Source organism: Homo sapiens, chromosome 11, assembly GCF_000001405.40.
Source record: "Homo sapiens chromosome 11, GRCh38.p14 Primary Assembly".
Classification (NCBI taxonomy): Eukaryota; Metazoa; Chordata; class Mammalia; order Primates; family Hominidae; genus Homo; species Homo sapiens.
Genome location: NC_000011.10, coordinates 49,400,222 through 49,423,588, shown reverse-complemented (window position 1 = coordinate 49,423,588; position 23,367 = coordinate 49,400,222). Strand labels below are relative to the sequence as shown.

At 34.9% G+C, this 23,367-nt stretch overlaps 2 pseudogenes; one reads left to right on the top strand and one right to left on the bottom strand.

The window, feature by feature from the left end:
* TYRL (tyrosinase like (pseudogene)) lies at positions 7,832-18,894 on the top strand (annotated as a pseudogene).
* CBX3P8 (CBX3 pseudogene 8) lies at positions 16,693-17,388 on the bottom strand (annotated as a pseudogene).

Sequence of the window (23,367 nt, the reverse complement as noted above, 5' to 3'; positions counted from 1 at the left end):
TTTTTCAGAACTAAGCCAATCATTTATATTGTCTCATTTTATCCTTAACTATTGTTACTTGACATTTCACTTCCTTATTTTATTTTTGTTCTCATAAATACATTAAAATAAATAGTACCATCCCCTTTCTATAAATGAGCACACTGAGGCTTAGAGAGTTTTACTGGATTAATTTTAAATGGAAATGTTTATTATCATTTAAAAATTACAAGTTTGTTTTAACAAGTAACTACTTCAAAACAAGTACTACGTGAAGAAATAAATAATAAAAAAAGAATAAAAAATATAGGAATGCACTGGCCTTGCTATTGTACAACTGCAATTCAATAAATTTTGAGTGACTAGAAATTTGAGTGGCTGGAGGCATCTCAAGCTGCAGTTCTCAAAGAGAGTATGATTGTCACGTCATCTGTCCTGGCCTTTCAGAAAGATGATATCCAAGAAAAATAACTCCAGATTCTCTTGTATTTTCATTATCTCATTATTCCCATGGCTTCAATTATTAGCTAGAGGTTGGTGACTTCTCAATTTGTGTTTCCAAAGTTAATCTTACTCTGAAATCCAGACCCAGATATCTAGCAAATGACCTGACATCCCCACTGAAATGTCTCAAAAACATCTTGCAGCACAGTACATCTAGAATCATGACATCAACATCCTCCCCTAATATTCCACTTCTTCAAGGATTTCTGTATCTGGTAATACAAACACTTTTCTCAGTAGCATAAGCCAGAAAACTGGGCATTTTCTGTGGTACCTGGTCCCTCAGTTGAACTGCTTGGATTTCCGGACATCATCTTTTTTCCTGGACATAAATTTTCTCACCGATTTCTTTATCCCCCTTGATGCCTGCATATCCACCAACTCCTATTCTTCCTCAGTCCCTTCTCTACAATGAAATCTGTGTGGTCTTTTACAAATGATAATCTGTTCATGTTATCATTCACCATCCAAGATACAAATAGTTACTTTCTACCACTCTTAGGAAAAAAACACAAATCTCCCTAACATGGCCTCTGCTACCCTGCATGATTTGGCCTCAGTTCACCTTCCTAGACTCATCTGGAGCTATTTGCTCCTTGATCCCTATAGACATATTGGTCAATTTTTAGGTCCTTGAATTTGTCGCATACTTCCGATCAATGATTCTTTCCAAATTCCATTCTATCCTTCAGAAATATTCTTCTACCATTTCTCTAAACAGTCATTCTTCAACTCTTGAAGGATGCACCATCAAAGACTTTTCCTCAGGCCACAGACAGGATGAGGCTTCCCCATTAAATCCTGTTACCATATTACATGCTTCCATATTTGCCAGTCCATAACTATAGGTTGATTTCTGAAATTGCTAGTTAGTGTCTATCTCCACCACTAGACTCCAAATACTATAGGGCAGAAAACTTCACCAATGCTGGGCACAGAGCCAGTTTATTATAGATGTTTAAAATATATTCATTTATTTTGAAATATATGAATGAATACATAAATAAAAAGGTCTTCTATTATATGTGTGTATGTAACTTTTTTGTGTGTGTGGTCATCGTGGTGGTAGATGTGTTACAACAAATCAGTTCCCAAATATCCAACTATCTTAAGGCTTCCTTGTTTGTTCTTTTTTTAAATAAATATTTATTTTATAACTATTTTATTTGTAAAAATGTTGCAAAGATAGAATGGAGAGTTCCAACATTTTCCATACCCAATTCCCCTATTATTAACATCTTCCCTTGGTATGGAACATTGGTCAACATTAAGGAACCATGCTGATACAATTATTATCAACCACAGTCAATACTTTACTTTATTTAGATTACTTAGTAGTTACCTAATATCTTCTTCTGCTTCAGGATCCTACCCAAGATACTACATTACATTTAATCATCCTGTCTCCTTAGGTTCCTCTTGCCTATTACAGTTTTTAAGACTTACCTTGTTTTTTGATGACCTTCACAACATCGAGGAGTGCTGCTCAGGTATTTTGTAAAATGTCCCACAGTTGATATTTGTCTGATTTTTTTCTCATGATTAAACTGGGATATGTGTTTTGGGATGGACAACCATAGAGGTAAAGCACCAATCTCTTCACATTATATCAAATGTGTATAGGGACTCAAAAATGTATCCCAAAGTATGGTGCCTTGGGATGCTGAGTATTTTGAAGTAAAGGAGATTGGAATTCCTCAGAAGCAAAGTCTCTGGCCCCTCTTTCTCCTGTGAAATAAACCATAGAAACTAAACTCCCTCTTCCCCAAGATTATAAAAACTAGACCCTTCTTTTCCAAAACAAGCCATAAACCCTAAAACTATTACTATCATCTTCTCCCACCTTTCTGTATAGCAGCTGGCCATAAAGAAATACTCTGACCTACGTTGTTTGATAGTAGGCCATAAAACATTCATTGCTAAGGTCCTGCCCTATATGTAGGAGGAGGGACTGCTGCACAGAGAGGTCAAGAAGAATACAAACAGACAGGGCTTACTGGGTTATTTCTCTCAGTCTATTACCATGAGATCATACTCTTTTGCCCAAATTTCTGCAACACTGGCCATAAGCATAAGATTTAAGCATAAAAATAGATAATTTTCCCTGGGTCTTTGGCTCTCTTTTCTGAAGTCTCCCATGTCATATAAAACTTTGATTAAATAATTTATTATGCTTTTCTCTTGTTAATCTGTCTTTTGTTATAGGAGTGTTGGCCATGACCCTTATGATGGGTAGAGAGCAATTATCACACCTCTATCACCCCAAAAGGGCCATGCTATTAACATAACTTACCATTGTGAATGTTAACCTTGATCACCGGGCAGAGGTAGTGTTGGTCAAGTTTCTCAAACTGTTAAACGATTTCACCATGTTTTGATACTGTACTCTTCGAAAAGAAGTCACTGTGTGCATCCCATACTTAGTCAGTGGGGAGTTATATATAGTACCTTCAAGACAGAGTATTTACATAATTATTTGAATTCTTTTACATGACAGATTTATGTATTTCTCTCCATTTATTAATTTATATATTTATAGATTGTATCTGTACAGACTCCTCTATATTTATTTTATAAGACTTTATTTTGTGGCTCAAACTCTTCCAGCTTTAGCCTTCAGGAGTGATTTCAGTTGACTACTCTGTCCCTTTGACATATCTCTAACATTGTGGGTGGTTGTCGTTTCTTTGAACATATCCTTACTTTATGGCACTGAAAGATGCTCAACATTCATCTTGTATATTTCTTACCCCAGCCCTAGAGCCTGCCGTTTCTTCGAGGAACCCCAGTTCCCTTTATTGGAGAATATTTCTTCTGTTCTGCCTACTTTTCCTTCTTCTGGCATTCCAATTATGCATATGTTACATTTTTTGGAAATTATCCCATAATTCTTAATTATTTTTTATTCTTTCTCTTTGCATTTCAGTTTGGGAAGTTTCTACTAACCTACCCTCAAGCTCACTGATTCTTTTCTTGACCATATCAATGTTAGTGATATATACAACACTGCTGGAGTGTTTTTGATTTCTAGACTTTCTTTCAATTTTTTCTTAGGGTTTCCATCTTTCTGCTTACATTATTCATGATTTTTTGCATATTATTTACTTTTTTTATTAGAAATGTTATTCTAATATGTTAATTTTATATTATGTATAGGTTTTTCAAATTGATATTATTCACAATTATTTCAGATTCCGTGTCTCATAGTTCCAAAATTTATATCATATCTAATATGATATAAATGATTCTAATGATTGCTTTATCTCTTCAGATTTTTTTTCTTCTCTGTTGCCATGCCTTGTAATTTTTTATTAAAAGCCATATGTTTTATCAGGTAAGATAAACTGAGGTAAATGGGCTTTTAGTGTACAAATTTATGTTACTCTGGCAAGGAGTTGCACAATGTTTAAATGTTTGTCCTAGTTGTTACAGTTTTGAGATCAGAGGCCTCAAGTTTCTCTAATGTATTTGTTTTTGTCTCTATTCTTGGTTTTGGGTTCCCCTATATAGTCTTCTTCAGAGACAGCTTATGTATTTCAGCTCTTTTAGCTGTAATCCACTGTTGTTATACTGGAGCTTTGTTGGATGCTGGTAAAGTATGAGAGAGGGGAGTGTTCAAAATATTTTAATTAAATCTTAGTCCTTTAGTAGGCCAGTGCATTGGGGCTTCACAATACAGCTTTTTCTTCTTTTGCCTCTGCCCCTCTATATGCTTCCCTGGTTGCAGTATTTCTATTTATTTCCTTGAAACTCTGACCCCCGTGGCTTATATTTACTTCCTCTTAGGTGAGACAGGAAGACTGAAAGAGGCTGGACTGAAAGGAATTCTCTTCCTGAAACTGGGATAAGTCTCTAACAATTTCCCCTGGATCATAGGGCTTGGATATGGAGAATGTCCTGGGCATATTTCACAATGGTCACTCTCCTCCTCCCTGTAACAGAGTAAGGAGAGTATCTTTCTGAGTTCTTCACCATAAAAACCTGGTGGAGTTCCTGGAGGTAAAGCCCCAAACATGTGGAAGTTCCCTTAAGACAGCAGCACCCGGGAATTTCCCACTATCATCACTAGTCTAGACTCAGTCTCCAGCCATTCATCGAAGTGTTTCAGTGTTCCTACCACTTTAGGAATCCAGCTGCTCCTGCCCCTGGTAAGAAGATCTCAGCTATGTTCCTCTGGATGAACCCATCTCTCCACTTTTGAGGATGGCAGTTTGCCCCGCAACTTCAATTTTCTCATGGGTCCAAGAAAATTTGTTGATTATGAATTTGTCTATTATTTTCTTATTTTAAGGATAAGAGTGACCAGAGTCTTTACATGTCTGACCTGAAATCAGAGGTCCCATGCCAGCTTTTATTTGTAAAACACATCTTTCCATATTTCCATCTGTGGTCATCTTTATGTTTTTCTAATTTTTCTGTGGTGAATTTCACTGTTCCTCAGATTTTCAGAAAAACTATCTAGATTCAGTTCAAATTAAGTTTTGCTAAAAATATGACTACCCCCTCCTCCCCAAATGTCAATGTAATTATCTAAGTTAAACATTAATATTCCCATGTGAGCTATTCTATTCATGGTCTGGTGAAATTAACTGAAGTTGAGAATCACTGGTGAAGAACTTAATCAAGATTAATACCTTCATTTGAAAAGGTTGATGATGTGGGTGAGCACATTAATGGTTTCATCCATTAAATCTTTTGGTGCTGAGAATTGATGTCCTTGTCCTACTTAGGTAAAGAATTTTTATTTCATGGCAGAAACAAGATTATTTATAAATTGAACTATAGAAGTAATTTTTCTCGATTGACAAAAGGTACAATTTTTGCCTCAAGCCTTTATTTAGTGGCTCACTGTATATCAGGCTGTTCCCAAATCAGTCAAAATTTGACAGGGGTGGTGGAGGGATTATCAGACAGCCTCCTTCTCATTTTAAAAAATTAATTTACCAATTGAAAACGCATGGTTTAGTACAAATAAAATGTCTACTAAAAATTATCTAAAATGTGATTTCCTTTTTTGGTAAAATACATGTAGAGTGTTGTGGATGCATATTTTAAAAACTAGATATAACAAAAGCATAGAGCAATTACATGTGATTTTTTCTTTTCTCCTTTTTGTTTGTATTTTCTCTGTTTTACATAACAAACAAGTACTGCTTTTGTAAAAGAAGAAAACCATAAAAGTTAAAACAAAAGGACTAGTTTATAAAATCATAGGACTTTAATAAAATTTGGGGTTTATTGTCAAGCCAGTTTCTAATTTCTTCTGTTGAGGAAACTGAAGCACAGAAAAACTAATCTTCTTAAATCTTCTAATTTCTCACTTTTGCCTATCAGAATAATAACCATCACTAAAGGCACTGCTCACATATACAAGCTTTGGCATTTCTAATACAGCATATGTTATGTCTCATCAATTTTAAAGTTTTTCCAGTATAGTCATAATACTTAGGAGGGGGAAGAAGAGAAGAGAGGAGCTGTGAGAAAGATAATAGCTTTTATGTACTATTTGGCAAGCACTTAACTGTGTATTTTGTGTTATTTTAATTAATCCTTACATTACCTTCATGGTATAAATATAATTCCCATTTTGTAGAATAAAGAAGATCAAACAGATACAATTTTACAAATCTTCCCTGTCGCAACCTATAGAACTCGTATTTTTACACAGTTCTTTGTGTAAGTTGACCTACAGTAGATACTCAGTAAATATTCATTTAATAACTGAACTAATTTAGAAAGCATTTGGTATGCATGGACCAGATTTTTAGTGTTTATCAGTGGACTGCCAATTCTTCACTAAATTCACAACTGAAAACCAACTTTGACCACAAGTAGTGTTTCAAGTTCAGATCCTCTAATAAACAAAATTGTTTTCTGTCATGGAAAAAATCAACACCATTTCTTCCACTTGGCTTCCTTGTTCTCTTCGTTATTGTGCTTCAAAATGTTGAAAATGGTTTTCTAAAATTGTATTCATTTTGTTTGAAGCCTTATCACTTCTTTTTCAATACCACCTTTTCTACCATGTACCAACCTTTGACCTGCTAGCTTAAAATGTACAGCTAAGTAACGATAGCTTACTTATTTAGTACTTTCACAAAAACTATCATATTGGAAACAGGTAGGACATATATTATTACTCTTATTTAAGGATGAGGAGGCTAAGTCTCCAAGTTCAGTGATTTTCTTAGAGTTATACAGCCAGATGAAAACACAGAGCTAGGCTTCAAGAAGAGTTCCCCAACTCCAGCTCTTGTGTTCTTTCTTCTATGTCATATGACTCAATAATGCAAAGCCATTCTCTTTGTCATATTGTTAATGGCTCGCTATAAACTACCTTACAACTTGAGTTTCTACTCCATTCTTACTGGACTTTTTTCAATCCTTTAATTTTTTAGTTTTTGTTCCAGTCAAAGTTTTTAGTTGCATGAAACAGAAACTAACTCTGCCTGATTTAAGTAGGAAAAGAATTTGCTGAGAGGCTATTGAGTAGCTCACAAAATCATGGAGCAGCAGGCTCAGAAACAGGTGAGAATAAGCAAGAAGGGCATCAGCTAAGACAGCTGCCAAAACCATGCTATAGAACACAGGGCACTTGCTGGGCAATGGATTCCTTTGCTGGTACATCTGGCTTTGCTGACCCTGAAAACTGAATATTGTTATACCAACTGCCACTGCCCATTTCTAGGATGGTTTCTGATTATCCCTGCTTCTTTGTGTCACTATCTCCTGTTTCGAAGTCATGAATGAGTATGTCAGATTGGCAGAATATTTATCATATGGTCATACTCTAACTTTAGAAAAAGCCGAGAAACAAAGTTTAAGTATCTAAACCATTGTCATTGGAGGTAAGCTCTGTCTCCCATCAAGACTCATTAAGCCCACACTTCACCTATCACAACATGAATGTTTAAATTATTGAAAGCCTCCCACCAGAACCAAAAAAATGACCAAATTCCAGCACTGTTTCCAATTTAGTTTTATATGTTCTTTCTCTGGTCTTTCTTTGGGAATACATTTAATTTACAACTATGACTCAATTGTCACTCAACCAATAGTTACCTTTATTTTGCAGCATTCTGAAGGTTCAAAACGCAATGTGTAAGTTTTATTCACCTGCTAAGAATTATTTTTTCAAAGCTTGCCTCAATATTTATTTTAAATGAGTGAACTTCAAGGCCTGAAAGAATAAACTGATACTTTATGAAATATTTTTGAAGTATAAAGAATATATTCAACATCTTTCCATGTCTCCAGATTTTAATATATGCCTTATTTTATTTAAAAAATTTTCAAATGTTTCTTTTATACACAATATGTTTCTTAGTCTGAATAACCCTTTCCTCTGCAGTATTTTTGAGCAGTGGCTCCGAAGGCACCGTCTTCTTCAAGAAGTTTATCCGGAAGCCAATGCACCCATTGGACATAACCGGGAATCCTACATGGTTCCTTTTATACCACTGTACAGAAACGGTGATTTCTTTATTTCATCCAAAGATCTGGGCTATGACTATAGCTATCTACAAGATTCAGGTAAAGTTTACTTTCTTTCCGAGGAAATGCTGAATCTAGTGTTACCAATTTATTTAGAGATAACACAAAACTTTATGCTTCGACAATGTTATTCCTGAACCCTTTAAATCCTGAAAGTACCTTATAATCCTTAATTTATTACCAATTCATTATCACAGGAGTCAAATTCTGAAGATCTTTAAAGTCATAGTCATGGCAACCATGGGAAGAGCAGTCGAATCAGAAGAAGAAAAAAAAAAGGTTTTGAGAAATGACTCTATCAACTGACTGTAATGTGACCTGGGGAAATTTGCTCTGCATCCCTGAATCTCAGTTTATTCACCTGAAATCCTGGGACCAGAACACCCTAAAGAATTATTGAGAATGATACATTAATGAACCTAGTACAGTGTAACACAGGGTAAACATCCAGCAGTTTTGGAATCATTTTTGGAAGTTTCTTGCTAGGGTTACCAAGAAAATTTGTAGAAATCTTGAACTTAAGTGTAGTTAATAATAATAGCTATTATAATGTTTATTGCTCTATGATGAAGATAGCAATATAAAACCCCAGGATTAGAATTAGATTTGGGCTCTAAATAATCTTCCTGCATAGAACCATGTCAGTATCTTCTTGACAAAATGAGGAACAGATAGTAGTGTTTCCTTCTACCTGAAAGTCCACTACATGCATATTCTTTACATGTATTATTAATAAACCATATAGGAGGTAAGTTTTATTCTTCCAAGATAAAGGTGAGGACACTGATACCCAGAGAATTTAAGTGACTTTCTCAAAATCAAACACCAATAATGTGGAGAAGCAAGATTTCAATTCCAGGAGGTCCTCCTCATCTCACCACACTGTAATTCACCTAACACATGAGGGTTAATTATCAAAAACAGTGTGGCTTGTGGGTAGGAGGTATTTAACAAGCATTGATGTTTCATTGTATTCATTGATAATGACACATAAATACATAAATAAATAAAATAAACAAATGAATGAAACTCAACCCTCTCACTCTTGTGCTCGAATTCAGTGATACATGACTGCCATAGTTTCATACCTGAAGAAGCTCCAGTGTGGAAGTAAGACAATTGTGCAAGGAAGTAAAAAACATCAGGCTGTGTTATGTGCAGTAAAAGAGTCATAAAGAAAATCCCACAGCAGTGCTAAAGAGAAAGCCATGACTTTTGAAGGATTCAACCTAAAAAGAGAAAACGAGGCCTTGAGAATGAGTAAGCAGGTAGCAGATAGAAAAGGGCAGGGGATATGCTAGGCAAAGAGAATAGCAAGAACAGTAGAGGTGGAAAATGTACAGCATATTTATGAAATGCTGAATTATTCTATTTGAGTAGGATGAACAGTGGAAAAGGACACAAAGAAAATAAGTTGACCCAGTTTATAACAGTTAACACATACTAAGTATTTTTTATTAGCCAGGAACTCTTCTCAATGTGCCCTATGCATTACTTCCTTAAATCTTCATAATTACTCTATGAAGTAGGTATCATTGTTTCTTTTTCTTTTTCATAGATGAGGAAACAGAGTCATAAAGAGTATAAATTGATTTTCCCAGGCCACTTACCTAGTATATGGTATAGTACATACACAATTTAGGGTTAACAGGAGAGTCTATAGGTTATCAACCTTGTTCTGCCCTTTGAGGGATGATTAATTGAAAAGATATGGGTTTAATTGAACTTTTCTGCTTTATCGGAAGACTGTAGACAATGGACAAAATGCTAACACAGCTGACAAAGAAGATCAGTTTTTGGAAAATCTTAAGATCACTAGGAACAGAGAAATTTGCAAAGGGTGGAGGTGTGGTAAGAGGAGGGGCTTCCTGTAAGTCTCAAGTAACATGTCTTCTCTTTCTTCTATGAAAACCACAGTACATAAAAAAGGGAGCTTATTGGTAACTATTTTTCAAAGATGTTCCATTTAGGATTCTATGATTTAGTATCTGTTTCCATTTCCAAAACATGCTAGACTTTCATGGGTTCATGCTTTTAAATATGCTATTGTTTCTGCCTGAATTCTGACTCTACTTCTCCATTTGTCAAACTCTCAGATATAAAAATCATTTTATACTTATAGTGATGTTTACTCACGCCTTTCTCATAGTTACATAGCATTTCTTTCTATGTATGAATCTGTCCTGGGTTTTATTCTTCCCCAAACCCCCAAGATCAGAATTTATCTTGCAAGCTTCTCCATTCTAAGCATCACATTGTATCTGGTATGGACTGAAATCAATAAATCAATTTGAGTGCAAGTGATATTTATCATGAAGTGTCATTTCTCTTAACTAATATAAATGAAGTTTTCTAGAAAAATGCCACACCTCTTAATACTCAGGTCACTTTTGGATATATATTTTAAAACACTATAAGTATTCTATCATGCCAGGTGTTTTTTTTTTTTTATGTGTCTGTACTGAGTCGTTTATTCTTTACACACACATTTATTCAATAAGTACTTTGAATAAGACATTGCCTTAGATACTATGGATACAATGGTAAACAACATAGTCTCTATCTTCACAAAGTTTATAATGGAAGAGAAAGATCTTAACTGCTTGCTTAAAAACTCATTTATGTAGAGATATGTCTAAATCCAGGGGTCAATGAAGTGATATTTCAGATGACATCAATATGACAGGTAGAATTAACTAGTTGAAAAAGAGGACATGGTTATGAATTTGGGCCATATTGTTAGAATAATGCTAGCCACTGATAAATTTTAAGCAGGTTATAATCAAATTTGAATTTTCAAAAGATTATTGCAGCTTCAGTATGCAGAAAAATTTTAGTAGTTGGAAAGCACATGCAGAAAGGCAGTGAAAATGCTATTATAAGAGTCTGAGGAAGAGGTAAAGGCAGTTTAAGTTGCAGTGGTGGTGGCAGGAAGGGAGATAGAAAGCATCATTAATTTGATATTATTTTGAAGGCAAAATTTACAGAACTTGGAAAATTATTTATATACCAGATGAAGGAGATTAGGAATGGCTTTATGCTTTCTGGCCTGTGAAACTGATGAATGGTAGTATAATTCACTCATATAATAACAAGAGGAGCAAAGAAAGACATGGAGGAAAGCTTATGGTTTTGTTATACAGTGAAATGAAGTTATATGGGACGGCAAGGTAAATTTCTCTTGGGAAGTTGGATACACAGGCCTGAAACTCAAAAACAGTGTCTGGCCATCAGATCCGAATGTGAGAGACATCAGCATATAAATTATTGACTCGGCTAATTTTTAAAACCCATGGAAGGGTGATTTTTATTCTGTTTTACAGGTAAGTAAATTGAGACTCAGGAAGATAAAGTGATTAATTTTAAACTACAAAGCTAGTAAGTGTCAAATATTGAATCCAAACTTCATCACTCCATCACTGCACAGAGAAGAGAGCTCCCTTTAACCCCTATATTGTCTTCTACACATATGCTCCACCTCTTTGTTCCTTCCCTAGTGTCCAAATGGATACTTTTTACTACAAAGGCAACAAAATTTCCTGGATGAGCCAGGGGAGAAGAGGCTCAATGAGTCATATTAGAGGCTTGAAGGTATTTATTTCCAATTAAATTTAAAGAAACAATTTATTTGAAATGCTTTAGAGTAATTTTCACACAGCTTTGAATTTACAAAGTTAATTTTAGAGAAGTTTGACTTTAAAATAAGCAACAGCAGATACTTAGGAAGCTGAGGCAGGAGGTTCTCTTAAGCCCAGGAGTGTGAGGCCAGTTTGGGCAACACAGCAAGACTCATCTCTAAAAACAAAGCAAAACAAAACAGCTAAACTAAGTAACACCAATTGCCTATTTTCTATTTTATGAATTTTTCCATATTGTTGCTTCTGTTGTACTTTCAAGGAGTTTAAAATTTATCTCTATTCATAGCTGAATTTTAAGCTTACTAAAAATTTATTTAAAATTTCTTGATATAATTTTGTTCAAGGGGATTATTATTCATCAACCAGGTACTCATGTTTATAATTAATTAAGTGGTTTCTGTAAAAAGGCAGCTGATGTCTGCCATTTATCAAACTTTTTCTCTTATAATTGAATTTAGTGATTCTTTAGAAAATTGAGTAGCAGGTGATTTTCTCATATGTATAACTAATTTACAAGGGGAGGCCAAAAATCTTTGGCAAAGAAGGATTGTGTCCTCAATGTTGTTGATAAATGTAATCTTACTTTCTACATAGCAGAAAAACTCTGTTGAGAGCTTCCTTCTTCCCATACGTTACAAAAGACCTGGAAATTTGGTTTCAAAAATGAGAAGGGGAAACACTGTTCAGAGTAACTGCAGTGTCCCATTCTGCCAATGGAATTTGATGACACTTCTATCATTCATGAATTTGTTCAATAGCTCTGTTTGGCTGTGTATACCTGTGTGCATGCTGTTCCTTTCTGCCTAGGATGGATTGCCATCAACATTATATGCTCAGAGTCTAATTCATTCTTTTACTCAGTGGGACAGTCTTCTGGGGTGCCTTCCCTAACTTCACAGAGATGTAGGAAGTCTTTTCTCCATGATCCCTTTGTATCTTCATCAGAACAACATTACTCTCGAAATGAGTTGTTTACCTGCCAGGTGCTGAGGGTGAAAAGGTAAATGAGACAGAGTGCCCCCCAACTCCCTGCCGACAGGTAGTGTATCTCAATGAATATGTGGTATTTTAATAAATGAATTGAAGAAAGATAAAACAAGTAAGACATAATACTTGCTCTTGAGAGTTTGTGACAAGCTTGAAAAATAAGACATATATAAATAGATATAATTATAATAAATGGACATTTGTGCCAAATATCACAAGGCAGCAAAGAAACTAGTTTGAGAATCCAGAAGAGAATGGAGCTGAGGAGTCAGCAGCTGAAGCAAGTTTGGAAAGAAAAACTCATATTGTAAGCTGATTTAGTTGAAATATTGATGAAACTATCATTCTATCATGATAAGAATCAACAGCAGTTGTAAATTGTTTTCTATATGGTAGACATTGTACCAAGGGCTATACATACATTGTCTAGTTTAATCACTCCAGGCAGACTCCTAATTCATTAGAGTAATGGCCACTAACTACTTCATGTGTTTGTTTTGTGAATAAATGGGCATGTTAATGCGCTTTGGAAATGATAGAGCATAAAACAAAAATCTACATAATTATTCTGAAAAGAATGGATGACAAGAAAAATAGGACTTCACATAGGGAAAGATGACCAAAAAATTACGACATTGGAACAGAAGAAAAAGGTGCACTATTGGGGCTCAAACACAGATGGCTTAGAAAGAAAGTCTGAATTTTAAGAATGTTGAGAAATAAAAATGTCTCAAGGACAGTCCCTTGGTGACAGTAAAAATTGAGACCACTTGGAATGAATTGAAGTGGAGCAATAGTAAGAGAAGCTGGAGAACAGGACCGACATAGAAATAGTATTTAGAAGCTGTGAAAGCACTTCAGCTGAGCCTTTAACAAAAAAGAAAATATTTATTATGTAGCCTCTATGTATCCTGCCTTTTTTTGGACATTTTAAATGTACTATGTATTGAAGCCACTAACAGCAATTTAAGCTAAGTATTATAGTCCCATTTTCAAAATAATTTTAATATATATTAAAAACAGTAATTTTCAAGGTCTAGGGTTTACCCTGGATTATATAGTCCATGATGGCTCGCCAACAACCTGTCTGTATTCTAGCTAGTCAGAAAGGAAAAGGTAAATGGTCAAAGATATACTTTTTTCTTTTTAAGGGAACTTCCCCCAAAGTTATACATACATTTTTGCTCTAGACTTGAGTCACATAGGCATGACTTGCTGCGAGGTAAGCCCAGGATGCACTCTCTTCTTTATGCTATGTCAAAAAGTAAATTTATAGTATCTTCTGTGTATGTTCTACATACATATCTTCTATATACATTATAGAGAGCATCTTCTATAAAGGAATTGTTTTGTTAGAAAGAAGCCATTTGCTCTTACTGAACAGATACTCAGTACAGACTTCCTCATTTACTCAAATCTTATAGTCTCCTAAATAGATTCTATAGTTATAGTTACATAAAATTTAAACATCTCTCCTTAACTGTTACATGCCTTAAATATGTAGTTGATTGTGTGAATGAGATTTGTTTTTCATTAAAACAAATCTTCCCATTTCCACAGCTGCCATTCAGGGACATTCCTTCAACATATCTTCTGGGTCCAATAACACATTCAGTCATTCAGTAAACATGTTCATTCTCTCATATGTGTTTCAGACACTGTACCAGATTCTAGAATTAAATCAATGATGTAAGCATACTATTGGCCTTCAAGGAGCCATTTTAATAGAAACAATAGGTTAATTGTTGATGTACAGGGAAGTTTAATTTATGTAATCCTTATCTAGCAGTATTTTATTTTTTTACTAAGCATTATCTGATTATGGATTTCCTAAATATATAGTTATATCATCTATTAATTGCATCAGGTACTTTTAGTAGCATGCTTTCTAATTGTATCAGTAAAAAGACTTTTTTTTTTATTTTGGAAAATTAATAGAATAAACCAAAAATAAAAATCACCTGTAATCTTATTGTTAGATTGATCACTTGTGCTGTTTTAGTCTCCATTGTACTTTTTCTTATACTTTTTTCCACATACACATAAGTTTTTAAGCATATCTCTTAATTAATTTTGCTTTATCAAATATTATATGCATGTTATTTTACAAGCCAAAGAATGCTGCAAGTCTTATAACAAAAGGTTTATGCCCCTATATCAGCTACTGTAACCCTTTTAGCTATTTATTCTGCTATATTGCCCTGTATTTCTAAATGATAGGGAAATATTACTCTCTGTTAATTCATCAAGTTTATCTTTGGAGTTCCTCATATTTAAATAATGATTTTAACTCTCTTACAGCTTCCCTGTTCTTTCATTCATCTTCTCAGTATAGTATTATCATATTTGGGGGCAAATCCACATCTAGGAATTTTATTGTTTTTACTACTACAATATTATTTACAGTTCAACCAAATAGCATGCTATGATTACATTTGTTTTCCTACATTACTTTTCTATTGGAATTAAGACTCTTTTTTTTTTTTTTCATTTTAAAGCACCCATCACTGTTTATACCAAATTTTAAAAGGAACTGTAACTACTACCTCATAACATAGTGAAATATGAGTAATTTATAAATTTTTTCCCTGGGTGACATCCTTTTGTGTACGTCTCCCCTTCTCATTCCACAGCTGCCATTCAGGGACATTCCTTCACCATATCTTCTGAGTCCAATAACACATTCAGTCATTCAGTAAACATGTTCATTCTCTCATATGTGTTTCAGACACTATACCAGATTCTAGAATTATATCAATGATGACAATATACTATTGGCCTTCAATGAGCCATTTTAATAGAAAAAAAATTCATGTAATAGATAACTGGAATATAATGTGATGGGTACGATAATAGAGGAAATGCTAAGCCAGTAACATATTGGATGCTGTCTCTCCCCAATGCCATGTTCTTATGTGGTTTGAAGGAATATAAATAATCAGGAGGCTAAAGACTTTTCCTTGTTCAGAATTATTGTTAAAATATATGTGGTCAAAATCTGTTGTTGCTTTTTAAAGCAATGTAAAATGATTGACCACTATTCACCTTTATTTACAATAAAGGAATCAACATACAATTGGATAACATTCTGATTACTACCAAGTTATTGTTTTTCCTGGTTTCTGCTGAACCAGCAAATCAAATATTGAAAGGACTGAGTCTACATGTAAGGAATTAGTTAAGGTAAAGAAAAAATATGCAAGTCAATACATTACAAAAGTTGTTCATCTATTTATGGCAGCAGATTCTAAACTGCCAAATCTCCAACCATCTGATTGGGTTCCTAAAGCCAAGTCTTCGACATCCCATGAATCATTACCTTTTAGTCAGTATAGCACAGGGATTTCAACTTTTTGTAAAGGAATGGCCTGGTAGAGGAATCTTTAAATGTCCATTAAATTAAGTCTTGTTTAGATAATTAAAACAGAGCGGGATCTGTCTAGTTCCCTCATCTGGTTGGGGAGGTTGTTGGTAGTAATAAAATTATTCCTTTTAGGAATTTTGCAAACAAACTGTTCATTTATATGACTAAAGGTGTAGATAGGGATTCTTATATGGCTACTATTAAATGATTCATTTAAATTGTCCAACTAATTATAGAATCATCTGTTTTATTTGAAATGTATGGCTTCAGGAAAATTTTGAATTTAATTTGATGTGATTTATTTCTTAGGTTGCTCAGAATGATGGCATCTCAAAAACATGGGCTTACCCGTGATTTTTGTTTGGTGAATGTTTAAAAACAACACAAAAAGCCATTTAAGTACACATTTTAGGCATACACACACACACACACAACCCAGAATGGTCCTTAGGCTAAACGCAAGTTCTGATTGAGTAATGACTATGGAAATTTTCCCCGACATTTAGAAGTGCTGTTCTCTAATGCAGAGGAAATAATACATCATTTTATGAATACATGCATAAAATAACAAGATATCAAATGTTCTTTTATGATAAAGGAAGCAACTACAGAAAGCTTTTATTTGTTCAAAGTAACCAGTGGTATTGATGAAAAAAAAACCACACACACCAAAAAAACCCAACTCTCCCAATACTACTTTTAAAATTAACATATAAAAACTGATTTTCATTAGAATGTAGTTATTTTCCCACACTAGTTAATTAAAAGCCAAGACCCAGATTTTATATATATATATACAGATATATATATATATATATACAGATATATATATATATATATATACAGATATAGATGATAGATAGATAGATAGATAGATAGATAGATAGATATCACAATGCAAACAATTAAGCTTCATCATCTGGACAAGAATGCCAACTTAGTCTCTCTTTGTAAAAAAAATTACAATTTCAAGACACTTCATATTTGCCTCTTTTGCCAGCACCAAGTCGGCCTGATGTGAATATTCCCATTTCAGGAGAAACATCCATTCTCCACTGCTGCCTGTGGCACCAATTATTCTTTCAGGATCAAGATCTCTGGTGAAGCCTCTTGGTTTGTCGGCAGCATCTCTTGTCTTCTTTGATTTGCTGTCATTAGATTCATTGTCAGATAAAGACTTTCTTTCTTTTTGTACTTTTTTCTTTTTTTACCAGCTTTTTGAGAATTAAGGAATGTTTCAATTAACTCTGGACAATCTAAATTTTCTGCGGGTTCCCAAGTACTGTCAACATCTGACGTCTCTTCCACTTCAGGAAATGCTCCACCTTCCCTTTTGCTATAATTGGATCCAGTAGTTTTTCCACAAATTCTTCAGGCTCTGCCTCTTCGACTTTTTTACCCTTTTCATTCTGTTTTTTTCCCTCCCTTTTTAAAATATTTATGTTTATTTTTTGCACTGTAGTTTCATTTAAGGCTTTTGGGGTTTTTTTGTTTGTTTTGATTGTTGTTGTTTGATTTTGGCAGACCTAAAGGGCTATTATTCTTACATATATCGGCTCCCCTAAGCCCCGCCCCTCCAGGCTTTACTTTCAGTGTCCTGAGGCCTATAAAGGCCAGGCCCCTGCCCTCCAGCAGGGAGTGCACCTCCGAGGAGAAACAAAGGCCCAGAGTGCGGGCGCTCCAGGGTACCGCGGCACAGGGCCCGCTCCTATGCCACTGCGGCCGGGTAACCAAGAGCGCCCCCCACCCCTGAAGCCTTAGGACAGAGGGACGGCGCCCATGCGCCAAAATCTGTTTCAAGATTTAAGACTGTGACCTCTGTGAATACAGAGATTGTTCAAATGCCCTGGGGTTCTTGGGAGGCTTCTAAGATTACTGAGCATTTGCCAACATTACTATTAATGTTTGTCAAATAATTAAAGACTGGATTAGTGAATGGTTAATGATATAACAGTGTTCTATTGATAATTGGAATAGTTACAACAACCTTTTACAGAAAAAGATGGAAAAATCACAGCTAACATTTAATTGAGTACACACTATATACCAGGCTCTGAATCACTTACGGATGTTATCTATAAAATTCAAACGTTCCAACAAGGGGGGTATTATTTTCCTATTTTTCTGGTGAAGAAACTGAGGCTTTGGAGTATTAGGTATAACTTTCCCAAGCTCTTACAGCTAATAAGTAGTAGAGCTGGTCTTCAAACCCAGGCGTCTACTCCAAAGGACTGCGAAAGGATGAAGATGATGGTGATCGTAACAATGGTGGTAACAATAAAAACAATGGGATGTCTTTTTATTTCAGACCCAGACTCTTTTCAAGACTACATTAAGTCCTATTTGGAACAAGCAAGTCGGATCTGGTCATGGCTCCTTGGGGCGGCCATGGTAGGGGCCGTCCTCACTGCCCTGCTGGCAGGGCTTGTGAGCTTGCTGTGTCGTCACAAGAGAAAGCAGCTTCCTGAAGAAAAGCAGCCACTCCTCATGGAGAAAGAGGATTACCACAGCTTGTATCAGAGCCATTTATAAAAGGCTTAGGCAATAGAGTAGGGCCAAAAAGCCTGACCTCACTCTAACTCAAAGTAATGTCCAGGTTCCCAGAGAATATCTGCTGATATTTTTCTGTAAAGACCATTTGCAAAATTGTAACCTAATACAAAGTATAGCCTTCTTCCAACTCAGGTAGAACGCACCTGTCTTTGTCTTGCTGTTTTCACTCAGCCCTTTTAACATTTTCCCCTAAGCCCATATGTCTAAGGAAAGGACGCTATTTGGTAATGAGGAACTGTTACTTGTATGTGAATTAAAGTGCTCTTCTTATTTTAAAAAATTGAAATAATTTTGATTTTTGCCTTCTGATTATTTAAAGATATATATATGTTTTATTGGCCCCTTCTTTATTTTAATAAAACAGTGAGAAATCTACATTAACTGACTCCTTTAGGCTTCAGAAACACATTTTTATTTTCTTCAGAAAGGATGATATTCCCCCATATTTTACATTTCTGCTCCAAAATACATTATGGACTTCAAATAGAAAACAACCTTTAGCTCTTTCCTGTCATAGCTCTGACGATATTTTTTAAGGTCACTGAGAACAAGGGCCCAGCGTCTAAGTGCCTGTCTCAAGATGTGTCCATTAAATATTTTAATGATGATAACTATATTAACATCTTTTCACCTTCTAAAAAGTATCTTATTAGAGAAAGTTTAAAATGCAATCAAACATTTGAAGTTTGAACAATTATCTGAATATTAGCCTTTCTGTAGTTCTAGTAAAATAACTCATTTCCATTTTCCTTGCCTATTAAGATTTCAAATTAGAATGTTCAGATAATCCTACTACTTAAATTTTGGGGCCCTATTGATTTCCAAAAAAAGTACAATTGATATTGCATTTGTATTATGGCTATGCATAGCATAAAAGACTAGGACCAGTAGGAAGAAGTTATAGTGGGCCCATTTTAGTTCAATAAGGGGAAACATTGTTTAATACTCCGAGTTACAAAATCAAAATGGACACCTTTGGACAATAATAAGTGGTAACCACAGGAAGTCTTCACATACTGGATTGGGTGGCTAATTTGATTTGGAATCTATAGAGAAAATTTAAGCAGTCTGTCTATATTATATTTATTTAAATTGGCTCAGGGTTCTTACCAACTCTCCCCACTGTAAAGCAAAGCTAACCATGCTCTATTAAAAGTATCTATTACTCTTCCACATTATTTCAGGGGTTTTCACCATTATTTCTTTTTTTTTTTTTTTTTTTTTTTTTTTTTTTTTGAGACGGAGTCTCGCTCTGTCGCCCAGGCCGGACTGCGGACTGCAGTGGCGCAATCTCGGCTCACTGCAAGCTCCGCTTCCCGGGTTCACGCCATTCTCCTGCCTCAGCCTCCCGAGTAGCTGGGACTACAGGCGCCCGCCACCGCGCCCGGCTAATTTTTTGTATTTTTAGTAGAGACGGGGTTTCACCTTGTTAGCCAGGATGGTCTCGATCTCCTGACCTCATGATCCACCCGCCTCGGCCTCCCAAAGTGCTGGGATTACAGGCGTGAGCCACCGCGCCCGGCCTTCACCATTATTTCTTCCAGCCTCCAACCAAATTAATTTACTTTGTCCAGGTCTTCCCAGTCTCTTCAGTTTCCTTATACCTAGTTGTGCTTGTCTGCTTAGGATTTTCAAATAGTATCTCAGTTTGACTACTTTTGTTTCCAGTGTCATCTTTGAACACCATACTTTCTCTGTCCCTTGGTGGCATATTAAAGGCAGACCTACTCAATCCAGGCTCCTAGAAACCTCTCTGGGTCTGGCATCTGAGCCCTACATCTCTGGGAAGGTAGTTAAGACACACAGGTTTTTATGAGGTACCTTTCAGTCACAAGATTCTATAACTACTAAAAGGTCTGCAGCATAGCATTCTGATAGTTTATAAATGCATTTAAAAATAAATTGGCTGAAAAATTTGAGCTCTTGGAAACATCTTTATCTGTATAAGGCTGACCTAAAATCAAGACCACATAATTTTCAAATGATTACTTTTTATTTCGTACCATTTTAGATTTCAAAGAGAGACAAATATCATCCTACTTTACACATGTCCTAACCACACACATGTCCTAACCACACATTTTGGTTAATTTTAAAATCTACAATAAGTAAAAATTTACAGTTATTTCTGAAGTTATCTTATTAATCATCAGAAATTCCTAACGGTTACTAAACTTGGTAGCAGAGCAGCAGTCATCTTCTGACTCTCATTAGTTGTCAGACTTAAGCTAGCATGTCTAATTTCTGATACTGACTGTAGGAAAATCTGGCAAGAAGTGGGGAGTAGCACACATGGACACAGTGGAAGTCTGTGGGAGGAAACGATAAATACCAGGGAGTATATCCTCAACTTAGTACACAACCAGCAAAAAAGATTTCAAGCAGATCATTAACAATGGTGTCTGAGGATTAGAGTCAATTGTAGATGGGAATTGAAGCTAGTTAAATGAAGAGCAAGAAGGAATGGGAAAAGAAATTTGCACAATAGTCTGTAGAAGATTCTGAAGAAGGAATAACGGTGATTGGGGGCACCTTTAGTCACAGATCACACGTGTGGGCGGGTCTGGCTTACCTAACAGGGGCCAAGGTGTTGTGGACACTGCAAAACAACTATGTGTGAGTCACTTATCTAGGAATGATTTGAAGGCAAGATTTTAGTCCAGGGTGGTATGTTTAAATCATTTTGGCAACACATTTTGAATAAAAGTCCACCTAAGAAATTGTCATTGTTACTGAGAGGGAGCCATATAAAGTCATTTTTTTCCTTTGTCACAAGCAATTCCCTCCATCACTGCACCTCAATCTAGAACATCATTTTGTTTCTCTAGAGACTTGAGTTGTCTATTTGTATAAAAGCAGCATCTATGATGAAACCATCATCACTTTAATTCCATGGTTTTCTCAATATGGCATAGAAATTACATGACTGATATTTCAAACTGACAGTTCCATTAAATTATAATCAACATTATATTCTATGGCTTTTTTACTGAGACCTTTACAAATTGCTTCATTTTATGCTTCTGCTCTGATTATTTTCCATTGCTACATTATAAGCCACATTCTGTTGAAAAAAAAAAAGAGAAATAAGCAGCTGCTACTCTTTCTTTAATCTTTCTGTGTTTTGTAAAAAAAAAAAAAAAAAAAAAAAAAAAAAAAAAAAAAAAGGATTTTTAGTATCCAACCTTTCCAACAAGTCAAATATATAATTCTCCATCTGTAGAAATTACATCTGCAGTTGGCACAAGTCATTTCAGCCAGTGTCTCCAGCAGGCTAACAACTGGCATTAGTGGCGGATGTTTTTAGCTTTTTCCTTGTTAGTGTAGGCTTTGATTTTGTGGGATTTCTTTGTCATCATAAAAAGGGCCTAACTGGGGCCACCTATTGTGAGTTTGTTTTGGAGGACATGTCAGTAAAGCAAAGTTCCACTCCCCCTCTGATTAGATGCCTTCTGAAAGCTGCTGAAATGCAAATGTGAAAAGAGTTTTGGTTTTCTAATAAACTTTTTATTGCTTATTTTCAAAATCATTTGCCATTTTGTACAATGTAATGAAAATTAAAATTGGCTATGGAAACCACTTAGACCTCAAGAGCTTTCAAACTATTCAGCTATTTAAAACAATATGGGAAGAATTTAAGTATTTTTTTAAAGAAAGGCTTGCCAAAATTCTATATTGTTCATGTTTATCTTATTGTTTTATGAGTTCTTTTCTTAATAGCAATGTAAGAAATTATTCTTATGACTTCATGTTCATCTTCCAATTTTTATGTTTCATAATCATGATTATAAGGCATATTCTTATGATTTCTAGTTTTTCAATTAGAAATAAGTAACAAAGATGTTACAATTTAGTCAGTAGTTGTGATATTCAAATAACTGTGCTAGGCACTTTCATGTATGTTAACTCATTTAATAATCGACATGTTACCAATATGAGAATAAGTACTATTCATAGTGTCAAAGGAGGAAATTGGTTGAAATGGGGTAAACACCTTCCCAAGTTTACATGTCTGCTCAGTAGTTTAGGTAATTTATCTTGGATTTGAGTTTAGTTATTCCTAGGTGATTCTTATTATAAATTTAATTGTTATATTTTACTCAATTATGTTGAAGTGTAATAACCAACTCCTTGCTACTAAACAGTTTTGATTTAGCTTTTGTCATCATTTTGTTTAATATTGTAATACATATCTTGGTTCATATACCATTTTATTTATCTTAGGTTATTTTCCAGGAGTAGGTTCTCTGGGTCAAAGCACATGAATACTTTTCATAACTTTTCTAATGGACTGCCACAGCGCTCTTGAAAAGGGTTGTGTGGACTTAAAAATGCAAAGAAAAGAGTCTAAAATAAAGGACATCGAAAGAATAAATGAGAAAATTAAAAGGTAAAGAACTTAGAAGAAAGAAGACATGCTGCAGTTATCTTTGAGGGGAACTGAAGAGCCTTATTTAAGTTAGAGCCTTAACTTCATGTGAATTTAACATGGCATAGGCTGAGATATTAAGTGCATTAAAGGTATGAGAAAATTTTTAACATATGTGGCATCTCAAGTCAGATTCTATGAATTTCATTCCTGGTTCAATCTCTCACTAGCTGCATAACCTTGTGTGAGTTATCTTACCTCTGTGTGCCCCAGTTTTATCATTGTTAAAATGCATGAAATAATAGTACTTTCCTCAGCATGTCCTGAAGAGTAAATCTGAAGCCTTTACAGTAGTGCATAAGTATTCATTATTATTTCACAAGTTCTCATAGAGTATGTTAACTCAACATGTTACCTGTTTTAAGAAGGAAAGATAAAAATATAACCACACATTTTGTTTTTCAATAATAATTTTGCCA